Consider the following 27622-nt stretch of genomic DNA (forward strand, 5'->3'; position numbering starts at 1 on the left):
TTTTTCTTTATTAGTCTTGCTAGCGGTCTATCAGTTTTGTTGATCCTTTCAAAAAACCAGCTCCTGGATTCATTAATTTTTTGAAGGGTTTTTTGTGTCTCTATTTCCTTCAGTTCTGCTCTGATTTTAGTTATTTCTTGCCTTCTGCTAGCTTTTGACTGTGTTTGCTCTTGCTTTTCTAGTTCTTTTAATTGTGATGTTAGGGTGTCAATTTTGGATCTTTCCTGCTTTCTCTTGTGGGCATTTAGTGCTATAAATTTCCCTCTACACACTGCTTTGAATGCGTCCCAGAGATTCTGGTATGTTGTGTCTTTGTTCTCGTTGGTTTCAAAGAACATCTTTATTTCTGCCTTCATTTCGTTATGTATCCAGTAGTCATTCAGGAGCAGGTTGTTCAGTTTCCATGTAGTTGAGCGGCTTTGAGTGAGATTCTTAATCCTGAGTTCTAGTTTGATTGCACTGTGGTCTAAGAAATAGTTTGTTATAATCTCTGTTCTTTTACATTTGCTGAGGAGAGCTTTACTTCCAAGTATGTGGTCAATTTTGGAATAGGTGTGGTGTGGTGCTGAAAAAAATGTATATTCTGTTGATTTGGGGTGGAGAGTTCTGTAGATGTGTATTAGGTCCGCTTGGTGCAGAGCTGAGTTCAATTCCTGGGTATCCTTGTTGACTTTCTGTCTCGTTGATCTGTCTAATGTTGACAGTGGGGTGTTAAAGTCTCCCATTATTAATGTGTGGGAGTCTAAGTCTCTTTGTAGGTCACTCAGGACTTGCTTTATGAATCTGGGTGCTCCTGTATTGGGTGCATATATATTTAGGATAGTTAGCTCTTCTTGTTGAATTGATCCCTTTACCATTATGTAATGGCCTTCTTTGTCTCTTTTGATCTTTGTTGGTTTAAAGTCTGTTTTATCAGAGACTAGGATTGCAACCCCTGCCTTTTTTTGTTTTCCATTGGCTTGGTAGATCTTCCTCCATCCTTTTATTTTGAGCCTATGTGTGTCTCTGCACGTGAGATGGGTTTCCTGAATACAGCACACTGATGGGTCTTGACTCTTTATCCAATTTGCCAGTCTGTGTCTTTTAATTGGAGCATTTAGTCCATTTACATTTAAAGTTAATATTGTTATGTGTGAATTTGATCCTGTCATTATGACGTTAGCTGGTGATTTTGCTCGTTAGTTGATGCAGTTTCTTCCTAGTCTCGATGGTCTTTACATTTAATAACAACTTAATTTCAATAATAGGCAAAACTTTTGCTCTTATATAGCTCTGTTACTTCCTCTTTCTTTGTGCTATTACCACACAAATTGCATCTTTATATAAGGCCCACTAATACAGATTTATAGTTATTGCTATATGCAGTTGTCTTTTAAATCAGATAGAAAAAGTTATAAATAAAAATACATTTATACTGATTTTATATAACCTATGCAGTTACCTTTACTGGTGATCTATATTTCTTCATGTGGATTTGAGTTATCCTTTAGTGTCCTTTCATTTCAGTCTGAAGGATTCCCTTTATTACTTCTTGTAGGCCAGTCTGTTAGTGATGAATTCTTTCAGGTTTTATTTATCTGAGAGTGTCCTGGTTTATCCTTCATTTTTAAATTGTTCCCCAAAATCGGCAGAATAATGGGAACTATTTAGAAATAGTTTTACTAGATATAAAATTCCTTGTTGATAATTTTTTTTTTTCAGCACGTTGAATATGTCATCACACTGTCTTCAGGCCTCCGAAGTTTCTAATGAGAAACCAGCCATTAATCCTTCTGCCTTCCAGATGATCTGTCTTTGTATTTCAACAGTTTGGTAATGATGTGTCTAGGTGTGGATTTTTTTGAGTTTATCCCACTCAGAATTCAGCTTTCTGGATATTTAATTGTTTTCATTAAATTTGGGAAGTTTTAGGGTGTTATTTCTTGAAATATTCTTTCTCTTATTTTCTCTCTTCTCTCCTTCTGAGATTCCCATTACATGTATTTTGCTATGCTTGATAATCTCTTATGGGAATCTGAACTTCTGTTCATTTTTCTTCATTCTTTTTCCTTTTTGTTCTTCATATTGGATAATCTCAATTGCTCCATCTTCAAGTTTGCTGATTTTTTCTTTTTCTTTTCAACAATTTTATCCCATCTGCCACAGCTGATTTTCTTTTACCATAACAAATCTGCTATTGAGCCCCTGTTGTGAAATTTTTCATTTCAGCTATTATGTTTTTCAACTCCAAAATGTATATTTTTATAATTTCTATATCTTTATTGATATTCTCTATTTGGTGAGACATTGTTCTCATACTTTGCTTTAGTTATCTAGACATGGTGTCCTATAGTTCTTTGAACATATTTTAAATAGATGGTTTCAAGTATTTGTCTATTAAGTCCAACATCTGGGCTCCCTCAGAGACAACTTCTATTCATTGCTTTTTTCCCCATATATGAGTTATATGTTCTTGTATCTTTTCATGGCTCATATTTTTTTAGTCGGAAACTGGAGATTTAAAATAATAAATGTGGCAACTGTGAAAATCAGATCCTCCCTCCCCCAGGGTTGGTTACTGTTGTTACTCTTAGTTTGTTTAGTAACTTTTTCAGTAAAGTCTATATTCTTATTTATGCATGGCCAATAAAGTTTCTGCTCAGTTAGTTTAATGGTCAGCTTATGATTGAACAGAGATTCCCTTAAATGCCTGGAACCAATAAGTCTCCCAGCTTTTGCTGAGGGGCTGTGTGTGTGTGGCAGGACATGCCTTTGACACTCAGGCAGGCAGTTGCCAATTCTGCTTTATCTTTCCTGGGACCCAAAGGTTAGTCAGAGGTAAGAGCTTAGGGCCTTCTCAGGTCTTTCCTGAGCAGTAACAGCCTGGAGGTATACACATCTTACACATGCATGGCTGTCTAGATTCCAGGGAATATGCTGAAGCTTTTCAGAGCCCCCCATGAATATCTTCTTCCCAGTCTCTCCTTTTAAATTTTTAAATGAACTTCTTGTTTGCTCCTAAGGTCAATGCTCCCTCAGTCAGCTGCAGTGTTAAACAATTACAACTGATTGTTTTTGAGCAAGCCTGGAGTCAGGTCAAATAAAAGCTATCCCTATGAGGGGGGGTTCCACTGAACTTCTAGACAACTCTTTTAGAATGGGGGCTTTTGGGGAGTTGCAATCTGTTCTACCTCCTCCAGGGTCTGATTGATTGCTGACTTTCACTTTGATTGCCAAATTGTTGGTTTTCAAGGCTACTGCAGAGCTGGGATGAGGGAGGAGGGAGAGAATAGGGCAAATCAAAATACCACAAAGCTCACTGCCTTTATGGGTATTCAGCCATTTTTCTTGAATAAATACTCCGAGAATTGTTGCAAGCCTATTATTAATTTTCAGAGTTCTGAAAAAGTTGATTTCGAAAATTTTTTCCAGTGGTCTCATTGCTATTGAAAAGCAGCATTTTGGATGTCCTTCTCTGCCATTCCTGCTGACATCACCATTCTTTTTTTTTTCATTCAATAATCCATCTTAGAAAACGTTGTACATATTCTTTCCCTGCCCCATCTATCACTTTTATTTATTTTAGTGGGTGAATGTATTACAATATAATTGCTTTTCAATCCACACTTACTCCCCAGGCACCTAACCATTGTTGAAGCCTTTGTACTAGACATTGTGAGGCTGTGTCCAACACAGCTACCCTCTAGGAGCTTCTGGACACATGGAGAAGACAAAGAACACACAGGAGAATTAACCTGCCAAGGCAGCATGCTGAGAGTACTTTTGGAGTTTGGACAATGTTAAATGGACTCACCTTGATTATGAGTTCCAGGTCTGTCAAGACACACTTCTTTAATGGTTGAAAAGACAGGGTGGCATGTACACTCTGTCCTACATCCACAGTGCTGTCGATGGGTGAAAATTCCAAGTACTGCAGCAAGGTTTTGGAGCCACACAGCTGTGCCTGGAAGCTGAAGGTGAACTTTCCAGTGTTGATAAAGTTGAATTCACACTGGACACATTCATTTAACTCCACCTAGGAGACAGAGAACAGAGCAGTGAATGCAAACCATAGTTCCCTTGTCTGGGGTCAGCATTTGTAACATGTTGATGAAAAATATCCTTTGGGAAATAAGGATGGCAGATGATGTTGGTGATTTGACTATCTTTAGCTTAATGGAGTCAGATATTCTAGCAGGAGCTACTAAGTGTTGGGGTTCTTTCAATATCTCATGGAGCAAAGTGGCAATTTAGTTCTTAGACCTTTGTTGGTAGTCAAATATCCTTCCTGTATGTTTAACACAAGCACTCTTTCTTCTCCCCACCATCTCTCCACCCCCCCCTGAAAATAAAATAAGAAAAGCATTCACATCATATCTACATACATTCTGGGGATAGAGCTGCTCTTGCAGTGTTTCTGTTTTCCTGGTCTCTCTGGCATTTGAAGCAGAAAGACTCAGCTCATATTCATTTTTACTACTTTCCCCAGTCAGAATGGAAGCTGAGATAGATAGCAAGGTCTTCTTACACCTTTACCTCATAGAAGTTGATGATGTTAGTCTGGTTGGGAGTCAACAGAGTGATGGAGCCTGTCCTGTCCTTGCACTTGATCTCCACATTCATAGTGTAGCCCTCGGCCTTGACATTTAATGTCACAGGGTGGACTTTCTTTTCCACATTGCAGATCAAATTAAAGTTCACATCTCCTTCCTGCTTTGGTGTGAAGAAAATATCAATTGGGAACCTGGTTGGGGAACAAAACAGCAGATTACCTGACTAGGCCAACTTGTCAAAACCTTAAAAAATATGAGCCTACTGAATTAGCAGATTCACTACGAGGAAAAGGAAACTCCAAATTATGATGACATTTTAAGATTTGTGGCTATAGTAACCAAAACAGCGTGGTACTGGCATAAAAACAGACACACAGACTAATGGAAAAAGATAGAGATCCTAGAAATAAAGCCACACACCTACAATCATCTGATCTTTGAAAAAGTCAACAAAAATAAGCAATGAGGAAAGGATTCCCTATTCAATAAATGATGCTGGGATAGCTGGCTAGCCATAAGCCAGAAGAATAAAATAGGACCCTTACTTTTCACCATATACAAATATTAACTCAAGATGGATCAAAGATTTAAATGTAAGACCTCAAACTATACGAAAACTAGAAGAAAACGTAGAAAACACCATCGTAGACATCAGCCTTGGAAAAGAATTTATGACTGAGTCTTCAAAAGCACTTGCAATAAAAACAAAAATCGACAAGTGGGACCCAATCAATCCTGCAAAAAAAAAAAAAAAAAAAAAAAAGAGTAAGAAAGGAAAAAAGCTGCTGCATAGCAAAAGAAACTACAAACAGAGAAAAAATGCAACCTACAGAATGGGAGGAATTATTCAGAAACTATGCATCTGACACAGGTCTAATATCCAGAATCTCTAAAGAACTTAAACAATTGAACAAGCAAAAAACAAGTAACGCCATTAAAAAATGGGCAAAAGACATGAATAGACACTTCTCAAAAGGAAACAGAAAAGTGGCCAACAAACGTATAAAGAAATGCTTCACATTACTAATCATCAGAGAAATGCAAGTCAAAACCACAATGAGATAACATCTCACACCAGTCAGAATGGCTATGATTAAGAAATAAAAAACAACAGATCCTGGCGAGGCTGCAGAGAAAAGGGAACACTTATACACTATTGGTGGGTATGTAAACTCGTTCTGCCACTGTGGAAAGCAGTTTGGAGATTTCTCTAAGAACTTAAAACAGAACTATCATTCAACACAGCAATCTCTTTACAAAAAACAAAGCAATCTCATAAAAAACAAAACAAAACAAAACAAAAAAGCCAAAAAACCCAAAGTCATTCTACCAAAAAGACAACATGCACTCTCATGTTCATTGCAGCACTATTCACAATAGCAAAGACATGGAATCAATCTAGGTGCCTATCAACTGTAGACTGGATAAAGAAAGTGTGGTACATATACACTGTAGAATACTACACAGCCACAAAAAGAATGAGGTAATTCTTTGCTGCAACATGGATGCAGCTGGAGGCCATTATCCTAAGCAAATTAATGCAGGAACAGAAAGTGAAATACCTCATGTTCTTATTTATAAGTTGCAGCTAAACATCAGGTACACATGGACGTAAAGATGGCAACAAAAGAAGCTGGGGATTACTAGGGGGAGGGGAGGAAGGGAGGCAAGAATTGAAAAACTAACGATTGGGTACTAAGCTCAGTACCTGGGTGATGGGACCATGTGTACCCCAAACCTATACAGTAAATCCAGTAGCAAACCTGCATGCATATCCCTTGAAACTAAAATAAAAGTTGAAAAAACCCCACAAAACTTTGACGTAAATCTCATACCTTATAAGTTAATAAAAAAGGGGTTACAGACTGAAATGTAAAGCTACACAACTTACGGAAAAAATAATGGAAGGACATTTTCTGAATCTAGGGCTATTCAGAGATATAGAACAGACACTAAAAGGACAGTCCATAAAAGGACAAATAGATAATTTGGACTTCATCAAGAATAAAAGGTTTTGCTCTGTGAATGACCTTGTTAAGAAGAGCAAAAGACAAGCCACAGACTGGGAGAAGATATTTGCAGATCATGTATCCACCAAAGGAGCACTACCTAAACATGTAAAGAACTCTCAAAAATCAACAATAAAAAACAAACAGGCTGAGCAGGAAACTGGAAAGAGACATGAAGAGACATTTCACTGAGGAGGATCCATAGAAGGAAAACAAGCACATATGTGTTGTATGAAAGGAGAGAAGGTTAGCACTTCCCTTGACAATGATGGAAGAGGCCCTCAGGCCTGACAACACACATACAGAAAATAAGCACATGTAAAGATGTCCGACATTATTAGTCATTAGGAAAATGCTAATTAAAACTACAATGAGATATCCTTACACATCTATCAGAAAAGCTAAAATAAAAAATTGTTGCCGGTTGCAGAGCCTCATTCCTGTAATCCCAGCACTTTGGGAAGCCAAGGCGGGTGGATCACTTGAGGTCAGGAGCTCGAGACCAGCCTGGCCAACATGGTGAAACCCCATCTCTACTAAAAAAAAAAAAAAAAAAAATTAGCCGGGCATAGTGGTGCGTGCCTGTAGCCTTAGCTACTCGGGAGGCTGAGGCAAGAGAATTGCTTGAACCTGGGAGGCGGGGGTTGCAGTGAGCCAAGATCACACCACTGCACTCCAGCCTGGGCAACAGAGCGAGACTCTGTCTAAGAATAGTAATAAAAAAATTGTGACACCACTAAATTTTGGTGATGTTGTGGAGATTCTGGAACATTCAGAGATAACTAGTGGAATGTAAAATGGTTCAGCCAGTCTGGAAAGCATTTTCACCGTTTTTTTTCTTTTTTTTTTCTGGAAACATGCCATTATCGTATGTCCATTAATTGCACTCTTGCTCATTTTCCCCAGTGACATGAAGACACAAAAAATCTGTACATGAAAGTTTATAGTAGCTTTATTCATAACAGCCCAAACCAGGAACAATCCAGATGTCCTCCAGTGGGTGAATAGTTCAACTAACTGTGGTGCATCCCTACTATGGAATGGTAGCCAGTCATAAAAAGGAAGAAACTCTCAAAACTACCTGGATGTATGTTGGAGAATTATGAGTGAAAAAAACCAATCACAAAAGCAATGTATGTGTCTGTGAATACAACATTCCTGAAATGACAAAATGATAGACACAGAGGAAAGTATTGGATTCCAGAGGGTGAGGAGGTGTTGCTTGGGGGAAGGGAAAGGGTGTGGCAACAAAAGGGTCACATGAGGAATCCTGCGGCAAGGGATCTGTTCTGTGTCTTGACTCGTCAATGTCAATACCAGGTTGTGACATTTTACTGAAGCTTTGCAAGATGTCACCCTTGGGAGAAATTTGGTAAACAGTACAGAGTTATCTTTGTCTTATTTCTTCTTCTTTCTTTCTTTTTTTTTTTTTTTTTGAGACAAAGTCTTGCTCTGGAGTTCAGTGAGGTAATCTTGGCTCACTGCAACCTCTGCCTCCTGGGTTCAAGCGATTCTCCTGCCTCAGCCTCCCAAGTAGCTGGGATTACAGGAATGTGCCACCACGCCTGGCTAACGTTTGTAGTTTTAGTAGAGACGGGGTTTCACCATGTTGGCCAGGCTAGTCTCGAACTCCTGACCTCAGGTGATCCACCCGCCTTGACCTCCCAAAGTGCTGGGATTACAGGTGTAAGCCACCACGCCCAGCAGTCTTCCTATTATTTCTTACAACTACATGTGAATTTACAATTACTTCAAATTTTTAAATTTTATTATTAGTTTTTGAGAGAGTCTCACTCCATTGTCCAAGCTGGAGTGCAGTGGTGCAATCTCAGCTCACTGCAACCTCTGCCTCCTGGGTTCAAGTGATTCTCATGCCTCAGCCTCCCAAGTAGCTGGGATTACAGGTGTGTGCCACCACACCCGGCTAATTATTGTATTTATTTATTAATTTTTTTTTTGAGAGGGAGTTTCGCTCTTGTCACCCTGGCCAGAGTGCAGTGGTGCGATCTCAGCTCATTGCAACCTATGCCTCCCGGGTTCAAGCGATTCTGCTGCCTCAGTCTCTCGAGTAGCTGGGATTACAGGCGCCCGCCAACACGCCTGGCTAATTTTGGTATTTTTAGTAGAGACGGGGTTTCACCATGTTGGCCAGGCTGGTCTGGAACTCCTGACCTCAAATGATCTGCCTGCCGCAGCCTTAATTATTGTACTTTTAATAGAGATTGGGTTTTGCCATGTTGGCCAGGCTGGTCTCAAACTCCTGACCTCAAGTGATTCGCCTGCCTCAGCCTCCCAAAGTGCTGGGATTATAGGCATGAGCCACCATGCCTGGCCTGAAAATTAAATGTTTAATTGAAAAAGAGACTTGCCAGGCAAGCCTGAACATTGCACTGTGGATTCACATATACAGTGAATATAGCAAGGAAAAGAATACAAAGAGAAAATATTGAGATAAAGGGCTTAGAATTCTCAATGCTCCATATTCATCAGGAAAACAGATATCAGGGAGTAAGTAGGATGGAGATGGAATTGTTATGATGTAATCTTAGAGTTGAAAGCAATTATATAAATGGGGCACTGTAAGCACTGGCAGGCTTGGGGTCCTGGGCATGTCAGGAGGATGCAAACAAAATGAGACCTTCATTTTTGTTTACCTGGACAGTGGTGGGATCCAGCCTTCCATGGGACATACAAGCAGGCTGTTGCTGAAACCTTCAGAATAGCGGGAGTTGTCCTGGAAGGAAAAATCGAACCCCTGCTCCTCCTTGTTAATGATCTGCACAGTCTCCCTGGCTTCTCTGCCTGAGGAGGAAACACCAGCCCTTAGTGGGGGCCTCCTGACTGCCTGCTGGAGTCTCTCAGCAGACACCGCTTCACAGGCAAGACATTTAGAAGACATTCCCCAACCTCTTCCGCCTTTGTCTACCTCTCTTCTTTCCTTTTCCTCTACAAGTCACCTTCCTTCTTTCGGGGATTCCATGTCTTTCTTCATCAGTTGCCTGCTTCTGCTGAGTGGCTCCTCTGCCCTGGCCACAGCTCTCCTGGGATTCTGGTGACACCGTTTTCTTCCCTTGCTCCTTTAGACCCAAGAATTGTAATGCCTTCCTGAATTTGTTAATGGGGGCTTCACTCTCCTTGGTTGACCCCCTTAACTGCCCATGTATCTGTAAATAATTCTTGCATCGAATTCTTTGAAAATAGACCTTTGGTATTGGCATGAGTTTCCTGCCCAGGGCTCTGACTAATACATTTTCTCTCACTATCATCTTACGCTTTCCTCTTGGCTATTAGACCATTCATTTTCCCACATAAACTTTAGAATCATTTTATCCAATTCTCTCCCCTTCCAATTCTTTTGGGATTTGGTTGACAGATTTAGCAAATAATTTTTTGGTATAAATATGTCCCGAGCAATATTTGGACATACTCAAAATTATTAATTGCTATTTGAAATTAAAATTTATGCATCCTGTATTTTATCTGGCAACCCTAGTTGGGATTCTAATTGGAACTTGATTAAATTTGCATTTAATTTTAGGACAACTAACAAATGATCAGATCTTGTTTGGGGGATTTTAATCAGATTTGATAGTTTTCTTCATGTAGGTCTTTTTTGTGCATGTCTTATTACATTTATCCTTAGCTATTTTATAGGTTTTGCCAGTACCAAGTGGATGTTTTCTTTGGTTTTCTGTTTCTAGGTGCTAGTGCTAAAAAAGAAGACACTATTTTTGCACATTTGTCTTGCATCTGCCCACCTTACCACATTATTCTGTTGAGTCTAGTAGTTTGTTTTGCTTTTTCTCTAGAGTCTCTTGTGGTTTTATGTGTACAAAATCATCAGTAAAAGCAAAACAAGATGACTTTATCCCTTTTTCCCCAATGTTTATGCAAATTATTTAATTTTCTTGTTTTGTCATATTTGCTAAAGTCTCTAAGCAAGTGTTCAATAATAAGGGTGATAATGAACACCCTTACCTAATTCCTCATTTTAATTGAAGCAGTTTTAGTCATTTATTGCAGGATCATATCTGCCTCTTGATTTTGGTTAACCTTTTTTTCCATCAATGTCCATTTTGCTATTAGAGTTTTTGTTGGGAATGTCTGCTAAATTTTGGCAATGCCTTTTCAGTGTATATTAACATGATCACATGGTTGTTCTTCTTTAATCTATTGATGTAATGATTATATTGAAACGTACCACTGTTGAATTCCTGGATTAAACTCTGTCTCACTGTTGTTATTCTTATGCTACATTGCTTATTTGTTCAAAATCTTAATAAATGCCATAATTCCCCCTCCCACCTAATTATGTGTATCGGTAAAATACACATCCAGCAGTTAACACTGCTTTCCTTTGGAGTGGAAAGAGAAAGATGAGACAGGATGAATGTGGAGAGATTAAACTTTTTCTTATGCAACACCACATTGGTGGATTTACTATAAAGAATATTATTTTACAAATACAAATCTAACATATTATTAAAACATACTCTGGCTTTAGTTGTATTTTATACACACAGCAGAGATGTCACAACCATGGGAAAGATACATGGGGTTATAAGGGACATGACAATTACTTCGTTTCACCTTCCCACTGCCTCCTGGCCTTCCTTATTCTCCCTACCCTGCTGTCCTCTTCTCTAAAGCACTTATTACCATCTGACATGGTGTATAGTTTCCTTATGTTTCTTTTGGTAGCCTGTTTCTTATTTCTAGAATGTAAGCATCAGGAAGGTACGGACTTTGGGCTTTATCCATTAGCGTAATCCCAGCCCATAGAAAAGTACCGAGGGCATTCTACAGACTCAGTGATATTTGTTGAACCAAATAAATGCACGAAAGGATGAGAGAGAAATTTGACCACTGTGGCACAGACCAAGAAGCATACAGATACCCCCCATAATCTGGGGGCAAATGCAGGAAGGATGGGCCAACTTGAGGCTCTAGAAATAAACAGTCAGCCCATGCCTTAAAGGAATCTGCCAAGTAGGATCTTTAACAAGGCTCCTAAATTTCCTTAAGCTATTAATTGTAGGTTTAAAAGATACTTGGTGGAAATTAGATTGAGCAGTAAATATTTTGTGGCTTTTTAAAAACTGATTGAGACCCTCTGATATGCTTCTGGAAGGGACCAGGAGAGGTTTCTTATGCAAGGCTGCTCCCAGAGCTCTTGATGACCTTGCCCAGATCATGCCAACTCTAAATACATACCATCAGGACAGCCTTACCAATGAGGAGAGAGCTGAAGTTGAGGTGTGACTTGTTCAGAGAGATGAGAGGTTCGGTAGTTTTGCCTACCAGCAGGAAAGGGACTGTGATGTTGTGCTCGGGAATTAGGAAGGTCCATGATGACTCAGTGATGCCCAGATGGAAAGGTGTGAACTGGAACACGATCTAACAAGACAATTTGGAACAGAGTGGTAAAAGACACTTCTGTATGCTTACTCCACATGTCCCTGGAGACTTGTCAGCACGAGGGTCATGAGAGTTGATGTTACCAGGCTATTGCTACCTTTCTATAGTCCATGTAAGGGCATGTAGGTGTGGCTGTACCAGAAATGTCAATGTCTATCTGACCTGCCCACATGTCCTCCTAAGGGAGTCTCCCCCATCCACAGCTTCTGCTGGCTAAGCTGTCGTGTTTTGTGCCATGTCTTTGGATGGCATGGCTGTGCCATAGCTGACTGGACCAAAGAGTTGGTACCCATTCCAAGGAAAGACAATCCCCATACTTGTCAATAGCTGGGCACACAGCCAAAGACAATATGATTAGCCGGGCCAGCCAGATTTCTCCCTCAGAAGTTTGAAATTAGGAAATGAGTGGCCAGGCCAGCTGGCAGTGGAGCTGATGGTGAAAGGTACCATGCAGGTGAGCTGGGCCACGGCATGCCATAACCAACTAGCTAAGTGATATTACAAAGTAACTGAAGAATAAATCAATCAATCAAGAGTGAAGAAACTGGTCAGTGGAGAGAGAATGGAGTAGATGGGAAGAGAGAAACAGGCAGTCCCAGGAGGAAAGTCCAACCTCAAAAGCTGCTCCTGGTTCTCTCTGTCTCTTTTTTGAGCTAACCTGAGTGAGTCTCTTTGCAATCAATCAACCAGGACTGAATGAAAGAATAACGGCATTTGGCCAAAAAAGAACCACACAGGTTAACATGCATGGTCTATACCACTGCCAGGACAATGTGGGCAGGTGCTCTGGAGGTGTGTCACCTCAATGATATGACTGTCACTTAAAGACCAGCATGACTTTGGATGATGGATTTTGGAACTTGCCTCTTGGAACCGAGCTCACATTTGAAACATTTCTGGGCTGAAGTGGGGGCCATGATCCAGGTAGGATTGTCTCTATGGTGGACCCAGCTCCTGGACCTTGTCACATTTAACTAGATGGCCTGGGTACTGACATTATGCAGAGGTCAAAACCAGGTGGAGAGTCTACAAATATGTTTTGTTTGGTTTGGGAATTGTTAAAAAAAAAAAAAAATGAACTAGCTACCAGCATGTAAAATAGGGCTTCACATAGAACTTTGGAATTTTGGTCAGGCGCAGTGGCTCACACCTGTAATCCCAGCACTTTGGGAGGCCGAGACGGGCAGATCACGAGGTCAGGAGATTGAGACCATCCTGGCTAACACGGTGAAACACTGTCTCTACTAAAAATACAAAAAATTAGCTGGGCGTGGTGGCGGGCGCTTGTAGTCCGAGCTACTCGGAAGGCTGAGTCAGGAGAATAGCGTGAACCCAGGAGGCGGAGCATGTAGTGAGCCGAGATCGCGCCACTGCACTCCAGCCTGGGGGACAGAGCAAGACTCTGTCTCAAAAACAAAAACAAAAAAAAGAAATTTGGAATTTTGTCTTTTCCACAGTTTGGGTGAGTTGGCCCCCTTGGCCCCCGTTGTCTGCAAAGCGGTCATCTACCAGAGAAGCCCTGTGGCCAGTGGCCCTGGTACCCTGTATTACCCACAAATGTCTCCTTGGCCCACTCTATTCACTTGTGTGACCCTCCTGAGGGCACAGGAATTCTTAATTTTTGTTTCACGGATTTATTTCTGTCTTCAAGATTCTCTGCAACTGGCTGGACATGGGGCTCACAGATCCGTTTTGGCCAGCAAGTCTGTATTTCTTTAATTCTGCTCCATATCATTTGTGTAAACATTTAGGATGAAGCCATGGGACATGGCTCCACTCTACTTTGCCCTTTGCCTAACCAAGTAAAAACACATCGTGTCCTTTCACCATTTTTGGTCCTTTTGACAAAGATAACTTTTTATGCTACTCTATGAGTCCTAGGGTCCCCAGGCATTGGTGTCCAGTTACCTTTTGCTGCTTAAATGTTCTCAGTTTTAAAAAATTGCAAATATTAGAGCTCTCTGCTTCTCCATGGCTAGCCAAGAGAGCTCAGGTCTGTCTTGTCATCAGCATTGCCCAATGCATATGGCAGCCATTCACTAAATACTTGTTGATTGATGCACTACACCCTCAGGCAGTTCTTCCTAATTCCACTTACTGTCTATGGCACACTTTCCACACAGCAATGGCTAGAGTGATCTAAGCCTTGGGTTGAGTGGTTCTCATCTGCACATACCTCGGCTTTCTTTTCAGGGTGGATGAAGCCCTTTTCTGTAAGGCATGTGAATGCTGCAGGGTTCTGGAGACTTTCAATTTCTTCAGAGATCCAGCAGAAGGAGTAGGTGCTATTGGTTGGGTTTAGGATGGTAAAGGTCCTGGCCAGGGTGGAGAGAATTGACAGAAGAGAGTGGGACAGGGGATTGAGGATTAAGAGAAATTTCTTAGAACCTGGCCCCAACCCAGTCCCCCATCTGGGAAGCAGAACTGTTCAGAGCACTTTGTTACTGTGGAAATAAAAACTCCATCTCCTCTAGCGATCCACAGTCAGGGTAGGGTTCTGGACTTTGGAATAACAATGCTGCCAAGGGCACAACTGTGCCAATGATCCTCTGTGGTTAAGGAGGTGGTCAGGGATTATACTTTTGTGTCTTCCATATTTTCCTCAGTGGCAAAACTAAGGAGACAGAATTCAGCTTTCTTAACGTAACAGTTCTCTAAAGTCAAACCTCTAAAACTCAGGTCAAACCCCAGGATATCGAGCCTGCTTATAGGAATAGGTCTAGCTCATCTATCTGAATTCTTTTAGAGTTCTTTAGGACCGATGTGAATTCAATCAATGTAAACCTAAGCAACTCACCGGAGATTCTTCCCTCCTATGCCCACAGTGGTGAACTCAATCACCCGGGTGTTTGGATCCAGAGCTCCCCCACTGGACCCTCGGAGCTCTGGGTTGCGCTGATGGCCACTTATGTAGTCCGAGTCTTTCAGATCAAAATGGCAGATGGGCAAGGTGCTCCGCCCTTTTGCTACCAGGACCGGACCTTGCTCTCCAGGTGGCAGGTTGGGAATCCTGAGAGGATAAGGTTATTTTTATTTGTTTTATTTTGTCATCAGTTGTTGCTTTCTTAGTTGGTTGGAAATGAATCTTATATCCACCAGAATGTGAGCTCTATGGGAGCAGAGGCTGGGTCTGTCTTGGTCAATAGCATCACTCAGTGCCTTGAATGCATGACTGGGCTGAGCATAAGCAGCCTGAATTTGGCTCCTTCTGTGTACCTAAGTATGGCCGCAGGTTACTTCCCCCATCAATGTTGAGAAAATATTCCTGCTGCAAAATGAGCACAGTCTTACCCTCTGGTCTCTCTCATAGGCATTTAGTGGGATATGGAAAGTGACCTGGAAATCCTAAAAAAGTATCCTGAGCTCCTCGGAAAAGGTGAACTGGATATGAGCAGATGCTCAGCTCCAGGACCAAGCTGAGGTGGCCTAGGTGTGGGAGGGGTCTCAGTGGTATGACTGCAGGAGGTCAAGGAGGCCCCAGCAGCTCACTTAGGTCTCTGCCACCCTAGGCCACAGCTCACAGGATTTTTCTGTAAGGTGATTGTACTCCTTCAAGTTTTCCTGGGAGCAAGTACCTCATCAGGGACTTTCATTGTCAGATGTCATTGGGTTAGCTTTTCTCTCACTGCTGTGTACCAGGTCCACCAACTCCACCACCACCACCACCACTACCACCTAATGTTTATCGTGCTTATTGTGTGCCAGGCACTGTTGTAAGCACTTTATTTGAATTAACTCATTTAACTTTCCCAACAATTCCACCAGCTGGGTATTATATTTACATTTTATGTATGAGGAAACTGTGTCTCAGAGAAGGTACAAGAAAGCTTTCCTAAGTTCATGCTTGCACAAGGACTGAAACCCACCTGGCTATCACCAGTCTGTTGCTCAGTGGAATCCTACATGCAGCTGGGAAGGGGAAAGTAAGCAGGGGGAAGCATCTGGAGAGGTTGATGAGCAGGACAAAGACCATATTCTCCTTGTTCTCTAAAGGGTGGACCCTTTAGATCCTTCCAAAGGGAAAAGGGATAATTTGGGGATGTGCAGGGATCTAGGGCCAGAAAGGATGGTGGCAGTGGTTGGACAGAAAAGGGGATAAGAGCCACAGAGCTTTGTGCCTGCCAAGAAGGGTGTTGTGGCGAGCACATTTTCTTACTGGCAGAAAAGGTTGCTCTCGAAGTCTCCAATGTCCAACGGGGAGAATTTTACTTTGAACTTCTGAATCTTCCCCACCGGCACGATTCCCGAAGAGGGCTCCACAGAGAAGGGCTGTGGGGAACCCTCGGCCCAGTGGTCCATGGTGCTGTCCAGGGTGCTGCCTGTATGCATCGTGCCCTGACTAAGCTGATCTTTTTGAGCTGAACCTGGGGACAGACAGGGAGTGGGTGATATTCTGCATTTGCAGTGAGAGGCAGGTGGAAGGGAGCCCACTTACAGGTCCTTAGGGGCCCTCTGCGGATATGGTGGATATGGACTCACCTTTTGTAGCAGCTGTACTTAACCTTGGGTATTAGAGGTAGGGAATTGCTCATATAGCTTACAGGAGACTCATGAAAAATGTTTCTATTTATTCCATAGGGTTTTCAAATTTGTTTCCTTTTGGTTCAAGCGGGTGGGTCAAGAAGATGTTTGTGCCCTAGAATAATGGGCTGTGAACATATTTTTTTGAGAATCATTGTTCTAAAGTAGGGGTTTACAATCTGGGGACCCATGGATAAGGGCCCATTCAAAAGGTCTGTGCATCTCCAAAGTTGAAGTAACAACAATAATAATAATAATAATGATAGCAACTTGCCTACCAAGTGTTGGTTCCTTTTCTAGTGCTTCATATGTACCAACTGAGAACTTGGGCATGGGTGTGTATCTTCCTGGGAAAATGATTCATAACTTTCAAAAGTTTCTCCAAGGGATCTATAATCTCCCACAAGGTTAAGACCTAAGAGACAAGATTCCTAGTTATCTTGAGATGGGGCATTGGCCTAGTGCAGGGACAGAGTTCAGACTCCAGGAGGGTGGAGGTAAGTTTTGGAGTCCCTCAGGCCCATTTGGCTCTGCAGACACCACAAGGTCTCTGCTTTGCTTTTCTTTAGCTACTTAGGAGACCCTCTGAGCAGTGCTGGCCTCTCCATGAACAAGGCTCTTCTAATTGGTGACTCAGGCCAGGCCCTGGGTTTTACTTGCCACTGAATTTACCTTGGTGATCTGGTTTTGCAAAGCTGACTGCCTTTGAGGTATCTTCTGAGACCCAGCTGAATTCCAGCTGGACACGTCCTGAATTAATCACATCGAACCTGCAAATCGATCAGGGAGCAGATTTGAGAAATGTGCTGCAGGTGGTTTTGGTCCTGGCTGCATGTCATCTATACTGTACTTAACCTTTTGAAGTCATGTCACTTTGTTTCTTAAATATTTTTAAAAAGGCACATTTTAAGTAATTTTATTAGAAATCATGCATATGATATACTCGAACAAGAAAATATATAGTGATTAAAAGTAAAAATATAAAAAATATTTATCACTTAAAAGTCTTTTGCATTCTTCCAACACCCTGTGCAGCGAGCTCTCAGCATGCATGGCAGTAATCCTAAACCCCCACCATGAGAGAGGAAACAAAATCTATTTCACAAGACAGCACCTCCCTCAGGAACAAATTCTACAGGCCCTCCCTTTCTGAATCACCTCCCATCAGAAACAATGTCCCTGGCTGGGCAGGGTGGCTCACACCTGTAATCCCAGCACTTTGGGAGGCCAAGGCAGGCAGCTCACTTGAGGCCAAGAATTTGAGACCAGCCTGGCCAACATGGTGAAACCCCATCTCTACTAAAAATATAAAAATTAGCCAGGTGTGGTGGCACATGCCTGCAGTCCCAACTACTCAGCTACTCAGGAGGCTGAGGCACGAGAATCGTTTGAACCCAGGAGATGGAGGTTGCAGTGAGCTGAGATCATGCCACTGGGCCACAGAGCGAGACTCTGTCGAAAGAAAAGAAAAGAAAAGAAAGGAAGGAAGTCCCTGTGTTCAGAAGCCATTTGACCCCTGCCTGTGACCCCTTTCCTGACTGAGGCACAGATTTGAATTTTAGTTACTTCAAACTCAAATTCTAAATCAGCAGAGGCTTTTCCTGCCTCAAATTTTCCTGCTTTAAGACAAGAACAGGGCTGGGTGCGGTGGCTCATGCCTGAAATCCCAGCACTTTGAGAGGCCAGGGCAGGTGGATCACCTGAGGTCAGGAGTTCGAGACCAGCTTGGCCAACATAGTGAAACCCTGTCTCTTCTAAAAATACAAAAATTAGCTTGGCGTGGTGGCGTGCACCTATAGTCCCAGCTACTCGGGAGGCTAAGGCAGGAGAATCACTTGAACCCAGAAGGTGGAGGTTGCAGTGAGCTGAGATCGCACCATTGCACTCCAGCCTGGGTGACAGAGCAAGACTCCGGCTCAAAAAAAAAAAAAAAAAAAAAAAAAAAAAAAAAAAAAAAAAAAAAAAAAAAAAAAACAGGGAGGCAGAGTTTTTTTCTGGAATCACTATTAAACTTGATCACAGTTAACAGCAGAAAGATGAAACCTTGGTACAAGAAAAAGAAAATGATGATGAAATAAATCCACACGCCCTTCCTGGTTTTAGGGGAATAGTAAGAGTTAGGAGTTTGGGTGAGGAGTAGGTCTACAGTGGGACGTAGAGATTAGATTTCCACTCTCTAGTCCAGGTAGACAGACCATCTAGTTTCACCTGAAATCAAGTGCTTTGACCACAGTGGCTTGTGTTTATTTTGTAAATTTATGAGCACTTGTATTTATTCTAAAGATAATTTTTATAAAGTGAAGAAATCTCAGTGGCACAGAGTACTTTTTATAAAAAGAGTTCTCAGTTTAGGGGTTGGAAAACTTTTGTAAAGGGCCAGATAGTAAGTTTTTTGTCTTTGTGTCCCATACGGTCTCTGCAATGACTCAGCTCTGCCTTTGTAGTGGGAACGCAGCCACAGATAGGTCATAAATGAATGGGCATAGCTGCATGCCGGCAAAACTTTATCTACAAAAACAGGCTACAGGCCACAGTTTGCTGACCCCTGCTTTAGGTGAAATGATCATCAGCAGAAGATCACATTTCTTGACATTTATCTTTTGGTTCTATCGTAATTTGCAAAGATGTTTAGAATTCAACAAATGCACGATGAGTTGAATGAGCTAATTACTAATTTGTATGCAGTAGAAATGTCAGTGGCTTACATTTTTGTCCTTGTATGTGTTGCACATGTTGCTCTCTCTGCCTAGAGAGAGCCCTTCATTCTCGCTTCTTCACTTGGCTACCCCCATTCTCACTTCTTTCACTCTCACTTTGTTCTCACTTCTTTACTTGGTTACCTCCTATCTGTCCTCTAAAGTTCAGCTGGGGAACTACCTTGTCCAGGAAGCCTTCCTTGACTCTCTTGATCTGCTTTAAATACCCCTTTGCTTCATGCACATGACATTATGCTGTAATGAAAAATTCTCCTGTTTCTATCTGTCCCCCGGCTGCCACCCTCAGATTATGAGCTCTTTGAAGGCAGGGCCCATGGCATCCTTGAGTCCCTGTGTCTGAATGTGGGTGAAGGGTTAACATAACCTTTTCTCCTTCTCAAAGATGAATTTGACTCTGAAATAGCTTTCTAGGTCTGTTCCCCTGGAGACTTGATAAGGGAGGAATGTCAGTTGTATTATTAGGTGACATTGTTTATACTAAAAATGGCCCCGATGAGTAAATGATATGTGCACTGGGAGGAACTATGACCACCTAGAGGGAAGCCATAGCTGTGGGGTTCTCTGAGTGTAGTGACTCTTGTAACTGGGCATATTCTCTGCAGGGACCCCAGAAGATATATCTGCAGAGTGGTTAGGAGAAATGATGGTCTTTTGGGTCTGGGCTTCTAAGCTTAGATGGATCCTATACCCACCAGTGTGGATATTGTCTGGGTTACCACTTGGTGCATGGGCAAAAAGAACAGATCCTGGGTGGCTGTGTAGATTGCTGCAAGGACTGCTCCCACTAAAGTGGATTGCCTGATGCCGCCCTCCTGGTGTACTACATTTCCTGGCCTATATCTTGATTTCAAGTGTGAATTTCAATAGCTCTGTGGGCCTGAATGTTTCATTGGACCTAAGACAACACTCTGGTGCATGCCACACAGATACGATGCCTAGTAGATGCTGCTGTAGATAATAGACGTTTGATGAGTGAGTGAGTGAATGATGGAATGAAAGAGCTTTTCCATCTAGTATCACGAGACTTTTGATGACTCACTCAAACACTCGGGTCTGGTAAACCAAGGTTTCCTTAAAGCGCACATCTCTTGCTTGGCAATGGTATGAAGCGAAATCCACATTGGCACTGATTTGAAGCTGCAGTTCTTGGTAGTTTTCTTCTAGTACTGAGTGAGCAGGTTCCGGATCCGTCTCTATCACCTGTAACAAAGGCAGCTGTGTCCTCAGAGATGCAGAGCACAGGGACAGAAAAACTGACAATGGAATAGAATAGAGAGACCAGAAACATTCTAGGCATATATAAAATTTAGGTACACTATGTGACAATAAAGTCCTGGTGGATCACTAGGGAACAGACAGGCTAAATGAAAAAGGGATCTAGTAAGATTAGTCATCTAGATGAAAAATATGAAATTGGATCCTTGCTTCACAACATACATAAAATCCAGGTGGGCCAAGAGCTGAAATATCAAAAAAACAAGTCTTAAAAATATATAAGTGAACATCTTTCCGGGAGGAAAGAGTTAAAAATAAGACACAAAAAGTAATACATATAAAAGAAGGGATTAATAAACTTGATGATATTAAAATTAATAACAGAAAAGATAAACTAGGCCAGGCATGGTGGCTCACGGCCCATAATCCCAGCACTTTGGGAGACCGAGGTGGGTGGATCACTTGAGGCTAGGAGTTTGAGACCAGCCTGGCCAACATGGTGAAACCCTGTCTCTGCTAAAAGTACAAAAATTAGCCGGGTGTGGTGGTGCATGCTTGTAATCCCAGCTACTTGGGAGGCTGGGGCATGAGACTCTCTTGAACCTAGGAGGTGGAGGTTGCAGTGAGCCGAGATTGTGTCACTGTATTCTGGCCTGGGCGAAAGAGCAAAACTCTGTCCCCCTCAAAAAAAAAAAAAAAAAAAAGATAAACTATAAATTTGGTAAGGATATTTGCAGACAAATAATATGAACAGAAGAGTTTATAAAAAATAAAACAACTCACACAAAATATAAGTATCATAATTGAAAAATGAGCAAAAGGCATGAAAAGGCATTCCTGCAAGGGATAACTTGTATGACTAGTAATCATATGAAGAAATACTCAGCCTTATTTGTGATCAGAGATCAGGACAATGCAAAATAGGCTCGTAATGAGACCATTTCCCATTCATTCAAATGATAAAAATCAAGAAGTCTGACAATGCCAAGTGTCGGAGAGGACATGGATCAATAAGCTCTCTGCTGTAGGAGTATAAATTGGTACAGCTACTCTGGAAAATACTGGGGGATTATCTTGGCAAGTTGAACATTCATATATCCAATGAGTCAGCAATTCCACTTCTAGGAATATAAACTCTTACAAATGAACACCATGTGAATAATACATCTGTGATAGCAAAACCCCAAATAATTTTCAAAAGGAGAAGGGAGAAATCATAATGGAATTTTATGTAGAAGTGAAATGGATACACTACAGCCACACGCAACAATATGGATGATCACATACAATAACATTTTTTAAAAGTTAAAACTACAACTAATAATATATGTTTTATTTTTATTTTTTGAGAAAGAGTCTCACACTGTGTATTCCAGGTTGGAGTACAGTGGTGCGATCACGGCCCACTGCAGCCTCGACCTCCCAGAGCTCAGATGATCCTCTCACCTCAGCCTCCTGAGTAGCTGGGACTATAGGCATGCACCATCACGCCCAGCTAATTTTTGGTAGAGATGGGATTTCACCATGTTGCCCAGGTTGGTCTCAAACTCCTGGGCTCAAGCAATCTGCCTGCCTCAGCCTCCCAAAGTTTTGGGATTACAGGCATGAGCCACTGTGCCTGGCCTGATATACCTTTTAGTGTGCATAGGTTAAAAAAAGAACAAAAAACAAAAACCAAGGGAGTAAACAAGTCAAGTCAAGATAGTGATTACTTCTAGGATGAAGGCAGAGAGTGGAATGGCTGAGAATTACACAGGTAGTCAATATTCTACTTCCCGTGTTGGGTGTGGGTTTGTCTCTGTGTATTATATTGTTTTTAAAAAAACTAACCAAGGAATGAATAAAAGAAGGGCACACATGGACCAAAGATGAGATCCTGTCATGAACCAAAGATTATTACAAATGTGATTCTGGACACCTGAGGGAAAAGGGAAACAACTAAAAGATTAGCATTGACATTTTTGAAGAAGGAAAAGGTGGGAGGACTTGCTCAACTGCTTATCAAGACTTAAGCTAAAGGTCTACCAGTGAAGATGTGTGGTATGTGTAGCATTGATGGCAGGCAGCATGTGTAGAAGTTTAGTTTGTCACTTTTGGAGTCAAGGTCAAGTAGAATGGGAACCTTTTCTTTTTACTGTGAAAAAAGGAAATGATGAGGGACTTGAGACCAGTAGGAATCCAAGCATGGAGGCCTGGTCAGATTGGTGCTTGATGTCCCCACTTACTTTTCGTTTTGTAGTGAAAGTCCCAGGCATGTTTCTGGGTACGTCCACCCACTTGACTGTGTGCATGCGGTCATCCCAGTCGGGGACCTGGTCTGCAGGGAGCTGAAACATAATCCTGGAGAGCTTGCACCTGATCCGCATATTCTTTAGGTTGATGGGTACATCTGACTTCATGGTCACCACTATGTCCTTGGCACACCCAGGGTGGAGGTGGCCCATCTAGGAAAGAGCCTGGTATTAGTATTTTTGAGAATCCGATCTTGAGGACTCTTGATACCTGCTGGTGATATTCTAGAGAAGGGAAGGAGCCAAAGGTCTTGGCAAAAAATGCATGTTAAGCCTGTGTATGTAGACAGAATTAAATATGTACATGAGGATCTTAGGTAGAAACATAATAATAATAACAAGAACAACTAATATTTATCAAATGTACTTGCTTCAGGCACTATTCTAAACCTTTACACAATTCTACGAATCCCTACAACAACCCTATGAGGGGTACAGCTATTATTCTTATTTTACAGACAATGAAACTTGTAACTTGGTTGAGGTCATTAATTTTTGAGGAGTTGGATTCAGACCCAGGCAATCTGGCTCCAAATGCCATACTCTTAATCAATATGATCTATACAAATTATGGACAGAGGAATACAGTACACTAGCAGTTCTCCAAAGGTGTTCTGGTGACCTTGGGATCCCCAAGACCTTTTCAGGGGATAAATGAGGTCAAGACTATTTTCATAGTAATATGAAGATGTTATTTGACTTTTTCACTCTCATTTTCTCATAAGTGTACAATGGAGTTTTCTAGAGGTTATGTGATATATGGTGATATGGTCTGGCTGTGTCTCCACCCAAATCTCATCTTGAATTGTAGATCCTATAATCCCCACATGTTGTGGGAGGGACCTGGTGGGAGATAATTGAATCATGGGGGCAGTTTTCCCCACACTGTTCTTGTGGTAGTGAATAAGTCTCACAAAATCTGATGGTTTTATAAGGGGTTTCCCCTTTTGCTTGACTCTCATTTTTCTCTCTTGTCTGCTACCATGTAAAATGTGCCTTTTGCCTTCTGCCATGATTGTGAGGCATCCCCAGCTATGTGGAACTGTGAGTCCATTAGCCTCTTTATAAATTACCCAGTCTCGGGTATGTCTTTATCAGCAACGTGAAAATGAACAAATATAGTAAATTGGTACTGGTATAGTGAGTGGGCACTGCTGTAAAGATACCTGAAAATGTGGAAGTGACTTTGGAACTGGGTAACAGGCAGAGGTTGGAACTGTTTGGAGGGCTCAGGAGAAGACAGGAAAATGTGGGAAAGTTTGGAACTTCTTAGAGACTTGTTGAATGGCTTTGACCAAAATGCTGATGATATGGACAATGAAATCCAGGCTGAGATGATTCCTGGAGATGAGAAACTTGTTGGGAACTGGAGCAAAGGTGACTCTTGCTATGTTTTAGCAAAGAGACTGGTGGCATTTGGCCTTGCCCTAGAGATTTGTGGAACTTTGAACTTGAGGGAGATGATTTAGGTTATCTGGCATAAAAAATTTCTAAGCAGCAAGACGTTCAAGAGGTTACTTGGGTGCTCTTAAAAGCATTCAGTTTTAAAAGGGAAACAGAGCATAAAAGTTCAGAAAACTTTCAGCCTGATGATAGAAAAGAAAAACCCATTTTCTGAGGAGAAATTCAAGAGGGCTTCAGAAGTTTGCAAAAGTAGTGAGGAGCCAAATGTTAATGGCCAAAACAATGGGGAAAATGTCTCTAGGGCATGTCAGAGACCTTTGTGGCAGCCCCTCCCATCACAGACCCAGAGGCCTGGGAGGAAAAAATGGTTTTGTGGGTGGCCCAGGGACCCCCCTGCTGTGTGCAGCCTAAGGATGTAGAGCTCTGCATCCCAGCCACTCTGGTCATGGCTAAAAGGGGCCAAGGTGTGGCTCAGGACATGGCTGCAGAGGGTGCAAGCCCCAAGACTTGGCAGCTTCCATGTGGTGTTGAGCCTGTGGGTGCACAGAAGTCAAGAATTGAGGTTGGGAACCTCCACTGTGCCCAGCCTCTCTGCCTCCTTTGATTAAGGCTTTGGTAATAAAAATAATGCACAAAAGCAGATTACCCTATTATATTATACTGTGTTTGTTTCTTCACAGGCAAAATGCAGATAATAGTAGTATCTATGGCTGGGCACAGTGGCTCATGCCTATAATCCCAGCATTTTGGGAGGCCGAGGCAGGTGGATTGCTTGAGCTCAGGAGTTTGAGACCAGACTGGACAACACGGTGAAACCTGTCTCTGCCAAAAATACAAAAAAATTAGCCAGGTGTGGTGGTGTGCATCTGTTGTCCCAGCTACTTGGGGGGCTGAGGTGGGAGAATCACTTGATCTTGGGAAGTGGAGGTTGCAATGAGCCAAGATTGTAACACTGCACTCCAGCCTGGGTGACCGAGTGAGACTATCTCAACAAACAAACAAAAACAAAAAAAAGTAGTATCTGCCTTATAGCATTGTTCAGAGGATTAACCATGGTCTTAGAACTATTTTTGGCATATAGTAAGCACTCAATTTACAAATAAAGTGGTATACCAGCTCTATTCAGGGTTGGATTTGGACCATGACGAAACGGAATGGTCAGGGTCCTAATGAACTTTACATCACTCCAAAAAGCAAAATTTATCCCTAATAGCGCTCAAAGATTTAAAGATGACAAAGTCCCCAACGCCTTTGCTCCATCCCCCTCGAGTACTGTGCTTGAGCAGACTCACTGGCTGTGTGTCAACAGAGCAGGAGGCAGTGAAGACACTGGGGTGTGCCAGTGCTCTGGGAACTCAGAAATGAACTATCTACAAAAAGCAACCACTGGCCAGAGGCAACGATCTTCTAGAACGTTATCCTAGGCCTTGTTCAATGTCAAGCTTTAGTCAGCAATTCAAAAAAAAAATGTGTGTTGTGGAGATGCTAAAAGAAGAGGTTAGAAAATTCCAGGTAAAACAAAGTTAACAAGGTTTTAACATGCCAAAGAGAACCAGGAATATTTAAGGAAGGATGGAGCTTGGAACATTTTCTAAATCTCACTTGTCCACAGAACCCATCACCCCCATTCTAGCTTTTGGTGAAGCATTTTGAAGGACTGATACTCTAAAGGACACACACCTAGGAGGACACAGCTCTACAATCTGGGATAGGAAGACTAGGACCTGTATTCATCTATACAGGCCTCCACAGGGCCCGTTGACAGCAGCCTAGCAACAGTTTTGGTCAACTTCATTCTCCGTCTTCCCCTCTTAACCAGGAGAGACATGAACAGTGTTCTTTGCTACTAGGTATGAGTGAGGGATGATTCCTGGGCTGTCTCTCAGCTTGAGATGCATTAATTCCATTCCATGCATCCACGGGAAAGGGCTGACAATCAGTCTGGGGTTGGCTTAGGACTAAGGGATTCCAAAAAATGATGAATGACTTTTATTTACCTGTGGGGAGAAAGCAATTGTAGCTGAAACAGGCCATTCAAACCGTATCAAGTTCACTTGGCTGTGATTTGTGACTGTGAAGCTCGCATTATAGCTGTGTCCAATGTGGCAGTCCCCAAATTGGATGTGGTCCACCAGAGCAGCTAGGGATTAGAAGCAGAAGGCTGTGAGTCCTCCCTGGCCTCCCCTGAGGGCCTGCTGCCTTAAGGAGGCATAGTGCTTCACTCACATGCAGTCCTTCCATCCTTGGATGGCTATATTTGAGAAACCTAGAATCTCTGAGTAACAAGATTTCTATCCTCAAGGAATCTATCTATCCACCCATCCATCCATCTATCCATCCATCCATCCATCCATCCATCCATCCATCCATCCATCATCCACCCACCCATCATCTACCCATCCATCATCTATCCATCCATCCCTCTCATCCATCCATTATCCACCCATCCATCATCCACCTATCCATCACTCACCTATCCATCCATCCATCCATCATCCATTCATCCATCCACCATCCACCCTCCCCCATCCTGCCATCATCATCCATCCACCCACCCATCCAGCCATCATCCACCCACCCACCCATCATCCATCCACCCTCGCATCCATCCATCATCCACCCATCCACCATCCACCTATCCACCCATCCATCATCTCCCTACCCACCCATCCATCCATCCATCCATCCATTATCCACCCTCCCATCCATCCATCATCCACCTGCTCACCCACTCATCCATCCATCATCCACCCATCCATCATCCATCCATCCATGCAGCCATCCATCCATATATCCATCCATCATCCACCCACCCATCCATCCATCCATCATCCACCCATCCATCCATTAATTCATCTATCATCTACCTACCCACTCACCCATCATCCACCTACCCACTCACCTATCTACCCATCATCATCCACCCATCCATCCATCATCTACTCATCCATGCATGCATGCATGTATCCATCCACCCATTCATCTATCATCTACCCATCCATCCCTCTATCCCTTCATCCATCCATCCATCATCCATTCACCCACCTTAGCCCTCACCTCCATTTGTACAAGAGAAAACATAGGTCCCCAACTCCATTTGTTTGGTGAGAAAATATTATAAAGGATTGGGATTGCCAGATAAAATATAGGAGTCCTGGTTAAATTTGAATTACAGATAAGAAATGAATAATTTTTAGGATAAGTATGTCCCATGCCATGTTTGGGATATACATATACTAAAAATTATTCATAGTTTAACCAAAATTCCAATTTATTGAGGAGTCTTGTATTCTGATTTGCTAACTCTGGCAATCCTATTATGGGCATGAAATCTGAGTTCTGAACTTAGATTCACTGCTGGCTCCTGCTTGAGCCTTGGTAAGAGAGATGTCACCCTGTAGCCTCAAACAGGGCTGAAACACCAGGTATATGAGGAGTGTTGATTTCAACCCATGTTGTGTAGACCACCTAACGGTACATTCCAGGACTTTAATTAAGCTTCTAGGTAAACTATG

General features: G+C 42.1%; 1 protein-coding gene and 1 pseudogene across 1 annotated transcript in view, besides 1 other annotated feature; one reads left to right on the plus strand and one right to left on the minus strand.

Annotated features, from left to right (window-relative positions):
• HYDIN (HYDIN axonemal central pair apparatus protein) overlaps positions 1–27622 on the minus strand; it is a 428639-nt gene that overhangs the window by 43849 nt on the left and 357168 nt on the right. Inside the window, exons 65-75 of the mRNA NM_001270974.2 lie at positions 26105–26247; positions 22638–22856; positions 20237–20397; positions 17153–17250; positions 16116–16323; positions 14757–14969; positions 14136–14274; positions 11773–11938; positions 9196–9343; positions 4516–4723; positions 3794–4015 (exon numbers count right to left, since the gene is read on the minus strand). Of these exons, the coding sequence (NP_001257903.1) occupies positions 3794–4015; positions 4516–4723; positions 9196–9343; positions 11773–11938; positions 14136–14274; positions 14757–14969; positions 16116–16323; positions 17153–17250; positions 20237–20397; positions 22638–22856; positions 26105–26247 (1925 nt within the window). The remainder of the gene's footprint in view (positions 1–3793; positions 4016–4515; positions 4724–9195; positions 9344–11772; positions 11939–14135; positions 14275–14756; positions 14970–16115; positions 16324–17152; positions 17251–20236; positions 20398–22637; positions 22857–26104; positions 26248–27622) is intronic.
• RNU6ATAC25P (RNA, U6atac small nuclear 25, pseudogene) lies at positions 6766–6844 on the plus strand (annotated as a pseudogene).
• Positions 18794–19088: an enhancer, noted in NCBI's record as "tiled region #4373; K562 Activating DNase matched - State 5:Enh". NCBI's record gives its function as "activates a minimal TATA promoter and a strong SV40 promoter by Sharpr-MPRA in K562 cells {active_cell/tissue: K562}" and the evidence as "EXISTENCE:reporter gene assay evidence [ECO:0000049][PMID:27701403]".

The sequence above is a fragment of the Homo sapiens genome, chromosome 16 (genome assembly GCF_000001405.40).
Source record: "Homo sapiens chromosome 16, GRCh38.p14 Primary Assembly".
Classification (NCBI taxonomy): Eukaryota; Metazoa; Chordata; class Mammalia; order Primates; family Hominidae; genus Homo; species Homo sapiens.